General features: G+C 37.0%; 1 gene segment (V, D, J or C) and 1 further gene, besides 4 other annotated features; both read right to left on the bottom strand.

The window, feature by feature from the left end:
- TRA (T cell receptor alpha locus) overlaps positions 1–14,599 on the bottom strand; it is a 930,229-nt gene that overhangs the window by 728,112 nt on the left and 187,518 nt on the right.
- Positions 12,005–12,013: a recombination feature (nonamer).
- Positions 12,014–12,036: a recombination feature (spacer).
- Positions 12,044–12,335: a sequence feature (TRAV9-1 leader sequence).
- TRAV9-1 (T cell receptor alpha variable 9-1) lies at positions 12,044–12,519 on the bottom strand. The segment is given in 2 exon segments: positions 12,044–12,335; positions 12,474–12,519. Coding segments are annotated over 2 exon segments (338 nt in total), but the record flags the coding sequence as incomplete, so codon positions are not given.
- Positions 12,474–12,519: a sequence feature (TRAV9-1 leader sequence).

Below are 14,599 nucleotides of genomic sequence, written 5' to 3'. Positions count from 1 at the left end.
TCTTAAATCTGCGTGAACCTAAATAATATAGATCCATTGTTAGTTTTATATGCTCTTGTGAACAGCTGCTTTCCTTTACAATGAGATTACTTTTTTTTTTTTTAAGTTCTGGGATACTTGTGCAGAACGTGCAGGTTTGTTACATAGGTATACATGTGCCATGGTGGTTTGCCGTACTTATCAACCCATCATCCAGGTTTTAAGCCCCACATGCATTAGGTATTTGTCCTAATGCTCTCCCTCTGCTCTCCCCCTAACCCCCGACTGGCTCCGGTGTGTGATGTTCCCTCCCTGTGTTCATGTGTTCTCATTTTTTACCTCCCACTTGTGAATGAGAAAATGCGGTGTTCAGTTTTCTTTTCTTTTTTTCTTTTTTTAAACAGAGTTTTGCTCTTGCTGCCCAGGCTGGAGTGCAATGGCATGACCTCGGCTCACTGCAACCTCCACCTCCCAGGTTCAAGTGATTCTCCTACCTCAGCCTCCCAAGTAACCAGGATTACAGGCACCCACCACCACGCCCAGCTAATTTTTTGTATTTTTAGTAGAGATGGGGTTTCACCATGTTGGCCAGGCTGGTCTTGAACTCCTGACCTCAGGTGATCCACCCACCTTGGCCTCCCAAAGTGCTGGGATTATAGGCATGAGCCACTGTGACTGGCTGGTTTTTCATTTTCTATTCCTATGTTAGTTTGCTGAGAATGATAGCTTCCAGCTTCATCCATGTCCCTGCAAAGGACATGAACTCATTCTTTTTTATGGCTGCATAGTATTCCATGGTGTACATGTGCCACATTTTCTTTATCCAGTCTATCATTGATGGGCATTTGGGTTGGTTCCCAGTCTTTGCGATTGTAAATAGTGCTGCAATAAACATATGTTTGTGTGTCTTTATAGTAGAATGATTTCTAATCCTTTGGGTATATATCCAGTAATGGGGTTACTGGGTCAAATGGTATTTCTGGTTCTAGATCTTTGAGGAATCGCCACACCATCTTCCACGATGATTGAAATAATTTACACTCCCACCAACAGTGTAAAAGCATTCCTATTTCTCCACATCCTCAATGGCATCGGTTGTTTCCTGACTTTTTAATAATCACCATTCTATCTGGTGTGAGATGGTATCTTATGGTGAGATTACTTTTAAATATTGATGGCAATGGCATTGTAGTCCAAAGTAAGGGTTGATCCCCCAGAGATGCTTACTTCAGGAAAGGATCATGGAATCAGTCCAGCAAAGTCAAGGAAGAGAAAGAAAAGAGGACAGAGGACAGAGAGAGGAACAAGAGGGTGAAGGAGAGGGAGAGGCAGGAAGAAGAAATCTCAGCAAAAAAGACCTGTCCATACTCATTCGGCTTAAATTAGGGGCACTATATTTGAAATATAATCAATTTTCAACAACATTCTCAGAGAGCTATGATAGTTTCCACAGTGGATATAACTAAACATCATCAAGGAGCATATGTGGTAACAGAAAAAATTCAAAAATCTTCTTCCAGAACAATGACAGCATCCCAAACTTGAAGTAGCTGCAAATTCCAAGGCATTTCAACTAGTTGGAACTTGTCAGAACTCTAAAACCAAGTGTTGACTATTTAATTTCTCCTCTTCAAGAAGAACAAAGAAGATACCAAGTTGTCATTGTTTTCCAAAGCTGGTTGTCTACTTCTTACTCAGTGAACAATTTATGAGCATGATTTTCTACTGCTTTGTCTGAGTCCTCTCAACTGGAAACAACTGACAAGTTTGAGATTACAGGCATATAGTTTACATTGCCTTAGGTGACACCTCACTACACACTCTCACAGTTTATCTCTTTCTCCATTTCTAGTAACATTCCTTCTATTCACATCATAATCCCATACTTATTTCTAGCATGAGCTCAGTGATGACTGGCTGCATATTACTCTCATATTCAGTAAGCTATTGGTATTATGCACCATTAACAATAAACAATCCATTTTGGATTTTTTTAATGCTTAAGTTGAAAACCTTAATAGCGAAAAATAAGAAACGTGGAAAATGGACAAATATAACATTTTAAATCAATGAAGAAAAATGAGTTATTCAGAAAAGGATGTTGAGCATGAGTGGCAGCCTCAAAATGAACCAAAAAAATAAGAAAAATAAAAATCCCTGGACATCAACCTCATTTTTTACATACACACTCTTATTAAAAATTTAAATACAAAAAAGTCTGAAAAACTAAAGAAAATACAGTATAAAATTTTACCATTTTGGAGTGGTATGGATTTTTAAGCAGGGCTTATAACTCACAGTCCATGAAAAAAGTTTTGATAAATTTGACTATATAGTATTTTTTAAATTCTGCATGACAAACAAGATCATAAGTAAAGTCAAAATGATAATACACTTTTTAAGAAGATATAGGTATACATTATATGATGGTTATATGACAAGTTTTCTTAATATAGAGAATGTTCTTCAAAATTTATATTAAAAAGACAATAACAGATGATTTCTAGTTTCTGGTTCTGCATGTAAGGAGCTTTAAAGTTGCCACTCACTCCTAATAAGTAAAAAGCAGAACAGACTGAAAATTCAACAATTCATCTTGGATCCATAATAAAGGTGAGGACATCGGGCATACCACTGCCCCCAGGATTGGACAATTAGGTGAATGCAGGGAGTCGTGGCTTACTGGAACAAAGACTCAGAAGCAGAAGCATTTATGGGAACCATTGCTGAGGTAGGAAAACCTCAACTGTATTTTGAAAACTGTTTTAGGCTCAGAAAGGACAAGTCTGAGAGTCAAAAACTCCAGGAAGGCTGAGTCATGGGGTGGGGAGGCTGGGGCCACACTTTTATAAGTTTTATCTTCAGCAACTTGACCAGGCTTCCACAGTAAATATCACAGAAAAATCCCCTTGCACTTCCAGCATGGATAGAGGAAAAGGAATAATTCTGAAATACACTGCAGCACTCTGTCCTTAACAAAGTTCTGCCCTCAGGAGAAACCAGTTAACCAAAGCCTAACCTGTTGGGGTTTTATCAGAGGTTAACTGACCTGGTGGAAGAGAAATACCCAACTTCAGCCCACCCTTGAGTTCTTTCCCAGCTAAAGGGTGTGTGAGGAGTGAGGGAGACTAAGAAACACTGGAGAAGTTTACAGCCCAGAGGCTCACTCAAAGACTGAGAACAAATTGTAGGCCTATAGAACACTTCCCCTCCCCACACACCTTACCACCACAGCACTAACAGCATATTTACAGCAGTTCCTTTTACCCAGTACATCATGTCTGGCTATCAAGAAAAAAATTACAGGGCATATTAAAAGGCAAAAACAATCTGAAGAGACAGAGCAAGCATCAGAGAAACACATCGGGGGTGTTGGAATTATCAGACCAGGAATTTAAAACAAATATGCTAAGAGCTCTAATAATAAAGTAGACAGCATGCCAGAACAGATGGGCAATGTAACAGAGATGGAAATCCTAAGAAAGAACAAAAAATTTCTAGAGATCAAAATACTGTCACAGAAATGAAGAATATCATTGATCAGCTTATTAGTAGACGGGACACAGCCAAGGAAAGAATTTCTGAGATTAAGGACAGATCAGTAGAAACATCTAAAACTGAAAAGCAAAGAAAACAAAGACAAAAGAAAAAATGGAAAAAAATCTAAAAACTGTAGGGCAGTTGCAAAAAGTATCACATATACATACGGGGAATATCAGATAGAGAAGAAAGAGAGAAATTAATCAAAAAAGATTTTTTTTAGACAATGACTGAGAATTACCCCCCAGATAATGTCAGACACCAAACCACAGATCCAGGAAGCTCAGAGAACACACAGCAAGATATATACCAAAACAAAACAAAATACCTAAATATTTCCTATTCAAATTATAGAAAATCATAGATAGGCTGGGCACAGTGGTTCATGCCTGTAATTCCAGCACTTCAGGAGGCCAGGGTGGGTGAATCACTTGAGCTCAGGATTTGGAGACCAGCCAGGGCAACTTGGCAAAACCCCATCTCTACAAAAAAAAAAAAAAAAAATACAAAAATTAGCTGGACGTGGTGGTGCATGCCTGTGGTCCCAGCTACTCTGGAGACTGAGGCAGGAGGATCACTTGAGCCCAAGAGGTTGAGGCTGTAGTTAGCCAAGATCACATCACTATACTCCAGCCTGGGCACAGTGAGACTGTGTCCCCACCTCCACCACCACCAAAATAAAAGAAAAAAGAAAATCATAGATTAAAAAAAAAATCCTTAAAAAAACCAGAAAAGGAATTATTAAAAAAAAAAAAAGAGTGGAAGACAGAATAAGAACAAAGAACAAGGGCAACAAATAGCAAGACTGGTTCAGATTTGAAAGTCATTTAATGTAATTCATCACATTAACAGGCTAAAGAGGAAAAATCACATGATCTTATCAATGATGCAGAAAAAGCATTTAGGAAAATTCAACACCTAATCATAACAAAAAAAAAACTCAGTAAAACAAGAATAGAGAAGAACTTTCTCAATACAGTAAACAGTGTCTACCAAAACCTACAGCTAACATCATACCTGATAATGAGAAAACTGAAGTTTTCTCACTAAGATCAGGAAAGGGATGTCCCTTCTCTCTACTCCTTTTCAGCATCATATCAGGAGTCCTAGCTACTGCAATAAGACAAGACAAGAAAAGAAAAGCTATACAGATTGGGCAGGAAAAAATAAAACTTTCTTCCCAGATGACATGATCATCAACATAAAAAAATCCAAAAGAATTGACAAAAAGAAAACTCCTGGAACTAGTAAGCAATAGTATCAACGTTGCAGGATGCAAGGTTAACATATAAAATATGATATATTGTATATAAGTAATTATTTATTATTATATACATTATATACATATTCATTTTCTTATATACCAGCAATAAACAAGTGGAATTTGAGCTAAAAACAGAAAACAATTACATTGGCACCCAAAAGGTAAAATATGTAGGTATAAATCTAGCAAAATATTTACAAGATCTACATAAAGAAAACTATAAAACTCTGATGAAAGAAATCAAAGGACAACTACAGAAATGAAGAATTCCATGTTCATAAATAAGAAGACTCAATATAGTCAAAATGTTTATCCTTCCCAGCTTGATCTACAGGTTCGGTGTAATAACAATCAAAAGTCCAGCAAGATTTTTGGAGGGACTCTGATGAATTCTTTTTACAGCATATATGGAAAGGCAAAAAACCAGAATAACAAACACAATTCTGAAAGACATGAACAAATCAAAGGACTGACATTACCTAATTTCAAAGCCTAACATAAAGCTACATTAATTAAGAAAGTGTGTCATTTATGAAAGAAGAGACAAATAGATCAATGGAACAGAATAGAGAACCTATAAATATACCTGCATACACAAAGTCAACTGATTTTTGATAAAGAAACAAAGGGAATACAGTGGGGCAAAGATAGTCTTTTTAACAAATGATGCAGGAACAACTGGATATCCACAGGCAAAAAATATATATACATATGAAAATGAATATAGACACAGACATTACAGTCTTCAAAAATTAACTCAAAATGTATTATAAACCTAAATGTAAAATGCAAAACTGTAAAACTCCAAAAGATAATATAGAAGAAAACCTAGATGACTTTCAGCATGGGAATGAGTCATTAAATGCAACACAATATGCATGGTCCATGAAAGAAATCAATAATAAACTGAGCTTCATAAAAATTTAAATTTCTACCTTGTAAAAAACAATGTCAAGAAAATGAGAAGAAAAACCAGAGAGTGGGAGAAAGTATTTGCAAAAAAAAAAAAAAAAAAAGAATTGTTATCCAAAATATACAAGAAGACTTAAAATTCAATAATAAGAAAACAAACGACCTGATTAAAAAATGGGCCAAAGACCTTGACAGACACTTCACCAAGGAAGATACACAAATGACAAATGAACATATGAAAAGATGCTTTTTATCATATGCCATTGGGAAAACGTAAATTAAAACAATGAGATACCCTGACACTTCTATTCCAATGCCCAAGTTCCAGACCTCCAACAACATCAAATGCTGATGAGCATGTGGAACAACAGGAAATCTCATTTATTACTGGTGAGAATGCAAAATGGTACAGCCATTTTAAGAGACAGTTTGGCAGCTTCTTACAAAACTAAACATACCATTGCCATACAGTCCAGCAGTTGTGCTCCTTGGTAATTACCAAAAGTAGTTAAAACTTATGTCTACACCAAAACCTGCAAAGAGATATTTATACCAGCTATATTAATAATTGCCAAAACTTAGAACCAACCAAGATGCCCTTCAGGAGGTAAATGGATAAATAAAATATGGTATATCCAGACAATGGAATATTATTCACTACTAAAAAGAAATGAGCTATCAAGACATGAAAAGCACTTAGAAACCTTAAATGCATATTAGTAAGTAAAGAAGTTGATATGGTTTGGTTGTGTCCCCACCAAAATCTCATCTTGAATTCTCACATGTTGTGGGAGGGCCCAGTGGAAAGTAATTGAATTATGGGGGCAAGTCTTTCCCATGCTGTTCTCATGATAGTAAGTCTCAAGAGATCTGATGGCTATTATAAGGGGAAGTTTTCCTGCACAAGTTCTCTTTGCGTGCTGCCGTCCATGTAAGACATAACTTGCCCTTCCTTGCCTTCTGCCATGATTGTGAGGCTTTTCCAGCCACATGGAACTGTAAGTCCAATTAAACCTCTTTCTTTTGTAAATTTCCCAGTCTTGGGTATGTCTTTATCAGCAGCATGAAAACAGACTAATACAGTAAATTGGTACCAGGAGTGAGGTGTTGCTGAAAGGATAACCAAAAATGTGGAAGCGACTTTGGAACTGTGTAACAGTTGGAGGTTGGAACAGTTTGGAGGGGTCAGAAGAAGACAGGAAGATGGGGGAAAGTTTGGAACTTCCTAGATACTTGTCTAATGGTTGTGACCAAAATGCTGATAGTTACATGGACTGCAAAGTCCAGGCAGATGAGATGTCAGATGGAAGTGAAGAACTTATTGAGAACTGGAGCAAAGGTCACTTTTGTTTTGCTTTAGCAAAGAGCTTGGCCACATTGTGTCTCTGCCCTAGGGATATGTGGAACTTTGAACTTGAGAGTGATGATTTAGGGTATCTGGCAGAAGAGATTTCTAAGCAGCAAAGTGTTTAAGATGTGGCCTGGCTGCTTGTAACAGCCTATGCTTATATCTGTGAGCAAAGAAAGGATCTGAAATTGGAACTTATATGTAAAAGGAAAGCAGGCCAAAAAAGTTTGGAAAATTTGTAACCTGGCCATGTGGTAGCCAAAAGTCAGAGATATTTTGCATAGTCATTTGAACCATCTAAAGTTATTTTTCCCATGTACATAAATTATTTATTTTGTATAGGTAGTTATTAGCTCAACTAACTAATAAGATCTAAATTGAGGCCTTTGGAATAAAATTAAAAGCTAAGAGAGAAACTAAAGCAGGGTGATCATGAAAAATGAAAGAGTCAAAGTCAAGGCATCTTCAGTGTCAATTATTATATCACTAATCTGAATAGTTCCATTCCTTTGTAGCCTGTGAAACAGGGGATCTTGCATACCATCCTCTTACTCTCACTTTTTGTGCTTAAGGACCCTTATAATGAGCAAAAATGCACTCCTTATGGGTCAATAAACTGATTGATATGAGTTAAGCACCTTCAATAGACAAGCAAAAGAAAATCTCCAATGTTAGCAAAGATGCCAAGATATCTGCAATTAAATCCAAAAATTCTTCTTTTTGCCATTCTTTATCTTCTCATAGCCCTGGCCGCCATCTACCACTTCATCTGTTACTCCCCTTCTGTAGAAGAAATGGCTTGAAAGACATTGGGGAAGCTATAAGATTCCTTTCTCACACCAATCTACATAGAAAAAGTTTCATCTCAATAGTTTGCATCTTCCAGACTCTGAACACTACCTATATATCTTAAGTAATGTCTTAGTGAGAGAAAGCCATCTTGCTGAGATATCATGCAAACTAAAATTCTCTACTGTCATAATATCTCAGCAAGGTATCTTTTAGGCATGAGTCATTTTTTTTTTTTTTTTTGAGACAGAGTATCTCTCTATTGCCCAGGCTGGAGTGCAGTGGCACAGTCTTGGCTCACTGCAATCTCTGTCTCCCAAGTTCAAGTGATTCTCTTGCCTCAACCTCCCAGGTAGCTGGGATTACAGGCAACCACCACCACACCTAGCTAATTTTTGTATTTGTAGTAGAGATGGGGTTTACCACCCTGGTCTCAAACTCCTGACCTCAGGTAATCCACCCACCTCAGCCTGCCAAAATGCTGGGATTACAGGCATGAGCCATCATGCCTGGCCATGAGTCATATTTTTTAGGGATTAGTTTCATCTTTTGGGCAAAACCAGTCTATGCATGTCATGTAATTTCCCAAAATAGAAACTAAGAAATGTTCCATCTTCTTTTTCCATATATGTGATCACATGTTCTACTCTCTCCTTCTCCATTATTTCTTATATTTCTTTTTTAATTAATGATTTTTAAATTTTTACTTATTTTTATTTTTACTTTTTGGAGGTGCATGCTAGGTGTATATATCATGGAGTACATGAGATGTTTTGATACAGGCATGCAATGTGAACTAGTCACGTCATGGAGAATAGGGTGTCCTTCTCCTCAAGCATTTATCCTTTGTGTTGCAAATAATTCAATTACACTCTTTTAGTTATTTTTAAATGTACAATTATTGTTGACTATAGTCACCCTGTTGTGCTATCAAATGGTGGGTCTTATTCTTTCTAATTTTTGGTACCCATTAACCATCCCCATCTCCCTCTCCCACCCCACTACTTTGCAGCCTCAGACCATCCTCCTACTCTCTATGTTCCTGATTTCAATTGTTTTGATTTTTAGATCCCCCAAATAAGTAAGAACATGTGATATTTGTCTTTCTGTGCCTGGCTTATTTTACTTAGCATAATGATCTCCAGTTTCATCCACGTAGTTGCAAATGACAGAATCTCATTCTTTTTTATGGCTGAATGGTACTATTGCATATATGTACCACATTTTCTTTATCCATTCATCTGTTGATGAACACTTAGGTTGCTTCCAAATCTTAGCTATTGTGAACAGTGCTGCAACAAACGGGGGGTACAGATATCTCCTTGATATACTAATTTCCTTTCTTTGGGTATATACCCAGCTGGATCACATAGTAGCTCTATTTTTAGTTTTTTGAGGAAACTAAAACTGTTCTCCATAGTGATTGTACTATTTTATATTCCAATCGATAGTGTACGAGGGTTCCCTTTTCCTCACATCTTGGCCAGCATTTGTTATTGCCTGTCTTTTGGATATAAGACATTTTATTTTTTAATTTTATTTTATTATTATTATACTTTAAGTTTTAGGGTACATGTGCACAACGTGCAGGTTTGTTACATATGTATACATGTGCCATGTTGGTGTGCTGCACCCATTAACTCGTCATTTAGCATTAGATATATCTCCTAATGCTATCCCTCCCCCCTTCCCCCACCCACAACAGTCTCCGGTGTGTGATGTTCCCCTTCCTGTGTCCATGTGTTCTCATTGTTCAATTCCCACCTATGAGTGAGAACATGCAGTGTTTGGCTTTTTGTCTTTGCGATAGTTTGCTGAGAATTATGGTTTCCAGCTTCATCCATGTCCCAACAAAGGACATGAACTCATCATTTTTTATGGCTGCAAAATATTCCATGGTGTATATGTGCCACATTTTCTTAATCCAGTCTATCATTGTTGGACATTTGGCTTAGTTCCAAGTCTTTGCTATTGTGAATAGTGCCACAATAAACACGTGTGTGTGTGTCTTTATAGCAGTATGATTTATAGTCCTTTGGATATATAGCCAGTAATGGGATGGCTGGGTCAAATGGTATTTCTAGTTCTAGATCCCTGAGGAATCACCACACTGACTTCCCCAATGGTTGAACTAGTTTACAATCCCACCAACAGTGTAAAAGTGTTCCTATTTCTCCACATCCTCTCCAGCACCTGTTGTTTCCTGACTTTTTAATGATTGCCATTCTAACTGGTGTGAGATGGTATCTCATTGTAGTTTTGATTTGCATTTCTCTGATGGCCAGTGATGATGAGCATTTTTTCATGTGTTTTTGGCTGCATAAATGTCTTCTTTTGAGAAGCGTCTGTTCATATCCTTCACCCACTTTTTGATGGGGTTGTTTGTTTTTTTCTTGTAAATCATTTTAACTGGGATGAGATGCTATCTCGTTTTAGTTTTGATTTGCATTTCTCTGATGGTCAATGATGTCAAAAACCCTTTCATATGCCCATTTACAATTTGTACATCTTCTTTTGAGAAATGTCTATGTAAATCTTTACCTGTTTTTTTAATCAGATTATTTCATCTTTTCCTATAGAGTTGTTTGAGCTCCTCATATATTCTGGTTATTAATCCCTTGTAAGATGGGTAGTTTGCAAATATTTTTCACCACTCTGTGTATTGTCTTTTCACGTTGTTGATTGTATCTTTCGCTGTGTAGGGTATTTTAACTTGATGTGATAACATTTGCCCCTTTTTACTTTGGTTGCCTGTGCTTGTGGGATATTGCTCAAGAAATGTTTGCCCAGACCAATGTCCTGGAGATTTCCCCCAGTGTTTTCTTGTAGTAGTTCCAGAGTTTGTGATCTAAATTTAAGTCTTTAATCCATTTTGATTTTATTTTTGCATATGGTGAAAGACAGGGGTCTAGTTTCATCCTTCTGCACATGGATATACAGTTTTCCCAGCACCATTTATGGAAGAGACTGTCATTTCCCCAGTGTATGTTCTTGGCACCTTTGTCAAAAATGAGTTCACTGTAGATATGTGAATTTGTTTCTGGGTTCTCTATTCTGTTCCATTGGTCTATGTATCTGATTTTATGACAGTACCATGCTGTTTTCATGTACCATAGCTCTGTAGTACAATTTAAAGTCAGGTAAAGTTATTCTTCCAGTTTTGTTCTTTTTGTTTAGGATAACTTTGGCTATTCTGGGTCTTTTGTGGTTCCATATAAATTTTAGGATTTTTTTTCTATTTCTGTGAAGAATGTCATTGGTATTTTTTTAGGGATTGTACTGAATCTGTAGACTGTTTGGGGTAGTATGGACATTTTATCAATATTAATTCTTACAATCCATGAACACGGAGTATTTTTTTTGGTGTTTTCTTCGATTTCTTTCATCAATGTTTTATACTTTTCATTATAGAGATCTTCACTTCTTCGGTTAAGTTAATCCCTAGTTATTTAATTTTATTCATGGCTATCATAAATGCGATTACTTTTTTATTTCTTTTTCGGGTTGTTTATTGTTGACATATAGAAATGCTACTGATTTTTATAGGTTGATTCTGTATTTTGCAACTTTACTGAATTTTTAGTTCTAAGGTTTTTTTGTGGAGTCTCTATGTTTTTCCAAATATAAAATCATATCATCTGCAAACAAGGAAAATTTGACTTCTTCCATTTATAATTCTTTTTTTCTTTAAGAACCTATTATTTCTTGGGCAGAAGCTTTCCTAAGAAATCACCCCATCTTGCCCCAGCTGAATGTATACCCCACTCAGGTATGCATTAAGCATTTGCAACCTCATCTGTCACAGCTGTGTCTGTAAGCATACTATTTCCTTGGATGGCCTGAGACAAGGTCAGGAGGCTACATTTTATACAGGGATGAGCAGCTAGACCATTTCATTTATCTCAAGGTTTTATACTTTTAAAATCACAAATTTCAAACAAGGTTGAGGAACTATGGTGACATTCTGTTTTCACTCTCATTGTTAAAGCATCTGGTGTGAGGTATTTTTACTTTTAGTTATTCTATAGTGTTTTAGAGTTTATTTGGATGGCTTTCACACTAGGAGTGCCTAGGGTGGGTGGTGGGCAACAATAGTAGAGTAGTTCCTGGTCCCTAACCAGAGGGGATCACAGTGGCTTACACTCAGCAGCCAGGCCCCTCGTGCTGCTCAGAGTTTGTGCTCAGCTTCCCCTGCAGTCCCTGTCACTGTGTCACTCAGAGCACAGAAGTACACAGCGGAGTCTGACTCTTGAACTGAGTCTTTCTCCAAGTGGAAAGAAGTGGTTTCTTTACGGTACATGGCTTCAAAACCTTTGTTCCTTCCCTTGTCATTGGCCTTCATGGCTTTCAGGTGGAGCTGTGGACCTTCTCCAGGATATTGGACATACCAAAAAAGGGAAGGGTACTGTGTGGTTTCATAGGAGCAGTTCACAATCAGGGAATCCCCTTCAGAGGGGAGCACTTGGCCTTCTGTCTGGACCACTGAATCTCCATTGATTCCCCCTGAAAAAAAAATAAACAAATTATACCAAGTTACCTTAGACGTGATCTTAGCTGTACCCGTTAGAGAAAACTGTGGTTACAGATTACATCAACATAATGGAACAAAAGATTCTAAGTTTTAAGTGCCATTTTACTTACCAAACATTAAGAATAGTGCAATCGCTGGTCCTGGAGAAGAATTCATTTTTAGACCCTCTGGTGCCCTTGGGTCTTGTCTTCTTAGTGTGAGGAAAAGTTAAGGTCACACTGAAGAAATGAGCGTGAGCAGGAAATGTGAATGTGTTAGGAAGATGCACCCCTTTGTGGGCAAGATCCTAAACTCAAAGGATTGTTGACTGTTCTTTCAAAAGTCAATCCTGTATCTTCACTTCTGGCTTTTTTTTTTTTTCTAAGACACCTATTAGCTGTCTGATAGTTCTTTGTATATCTAAAGAATAGTTGGTCTTTTTTATAACTCTGTTTTTTTTAACAGCACACTGTCTGACTTGCAAGTTCTTTTCATACCATGGCATTTCTGAGAATAATTCATTTTACCTTTTCTTATTTAGCCATCTTTGCCCAACCCATGATCCACTAAAATACCGTATTAGCACTTTTTTAGGATAAAACCAGAGGAATGTCAGTAGCACATGTTTAAACATTAGTAGATTATTTGAGATGAGAGAGACTTAAGCTTTTTTTCACTGCTGTATTCCCATACCTAGTACAATGTCAAACACTCAGCAGGTGGTTAGGAAACACTTCTTAAATACACAAATGCATGAATAAATGAATGGTCTTTGGTTGAGGAATTGTTACTACTTGAAATATCATATTGCTTCACATTTAAGGCATCAATTACAGAAATAAATTAATTGTAATTTCCAATTAATAAATTCTTTTCAAAGAAAAAAGGAAATTATATCTTGTGTATATATTGATTAAAAAGTAAAGAATATATAACTCTTATAATGAAAAAATATAGTAACTAAAGTCATTAAATCCCTACAAAATTATCTGGCATCACTTTCTTCTCCTGTAGGAGAAGAAATGATTCCCAGATAATGTGACTGGCCTATGTGCATGAGGCAAAGTGTTGTGATACTAACCTTTTAATGGAAATTTAGCCTTGATTATATACCCCCTACATATGTCCATCCACCAATACTATTGACCAATAGTTATTTTTACCACGGGATAAGATACTTAAATAATTTGGATTTGCCTCAAAAGACCAAAGAAAAAGCCCATCTCAGCTTCTAGGATTGGTAGAGACATGTCTGCTGATGTATAGAATCATAGCAAGGATGACACTTCTCTTCATGTAAGAGTTAGTTGGTGATCATCTTTAAAATACAGATTTGGAGATCTCCTCACTTACAAAATCAAAATGTTCAGAATCAAGATCCTGGAAGTTAAAAATCTCCTCAGGTGTTTGTCATACAGCCAGTGTTATACACATTCACAAAATAATCTTTGAGAACACTGACCTAAGCAGACAGACAAGGTATCAGTGAAGCACTTGTGGGATGAGCATGAGGAAAAAACTCCAATCCTCACAGATTCTCCTTTCATGGTAGTACTGAAGTCACAGTAGCTAAAACAATTGCTGTTAACTCTCACTATTCTTGTTTAGTCGACTTATAATAAAAATCTCTGGATGTTCCCAGGACAAACTTGGTAAGAAGGATGCTGTTTTTCTGTCAGCCCCACTACCATTTATCTTTGAACCTGGACGCCTTCCATTGTGCTTCCTGGAATATTCACTCTCCATGAATTCAGAGACAGCAGCTACATGGTTCTGCAGCAAGGTGTAAATGTTAACAAACTCTAAACTTGGGAAGAAAATTTAGATCTGGATATTATTTGGCTCTATACAAAGGCTCTCCTCCTTTTCCCTCTTACCCTGTGTCAGATCTCTGTGATCAAGCTGCATCTTCCTCCTTTTCCTGGTTCTTTTGGCCCATTCATCTAACTGACTCTACCTGAAGTCTAAACAGAAATATAGAGCAAGCAGTTTCACTGTTCCTAACTTTCTTTACTTTTTCCACGGAAACCTTGTCCTTAGTATTGTAACAACCCTCCATTCTTTTGAGGGAATCTATTTTCCACACCAGGTGTATTGGTCTATTCTTGCATTGCTATAGATACCTGAGACTCAGTAATTTATAAAGAAAAGAGGTTTAATTGGCTCATGATTCTGCAGACTGTGCAGGAAGCATAGAGGCTTCTGCTTCTGGGAGCCTCGGGAAGCTTCCAATCATGGTGAAAGGCAAAGCTGAAGC

The sequence above is a fragment of the Homo sapiens genome, chromosome 14, assembly GCF_000001405.40.
Source record: "Homo sapiens chromosome 14, GRCh38.p14 Primary Assembly".
NCBI classification, from domain to species: domain Eukaryota; kingdom Metazoa; phylum Chordata; class Mammalia; order Primates; family Hominidae; genus Homo; species Homo sapiens.
Note: the sequence above shows the minus strand (reverse complement) of the source record. Positions and strands in the feature narration are given on the sequence as shown.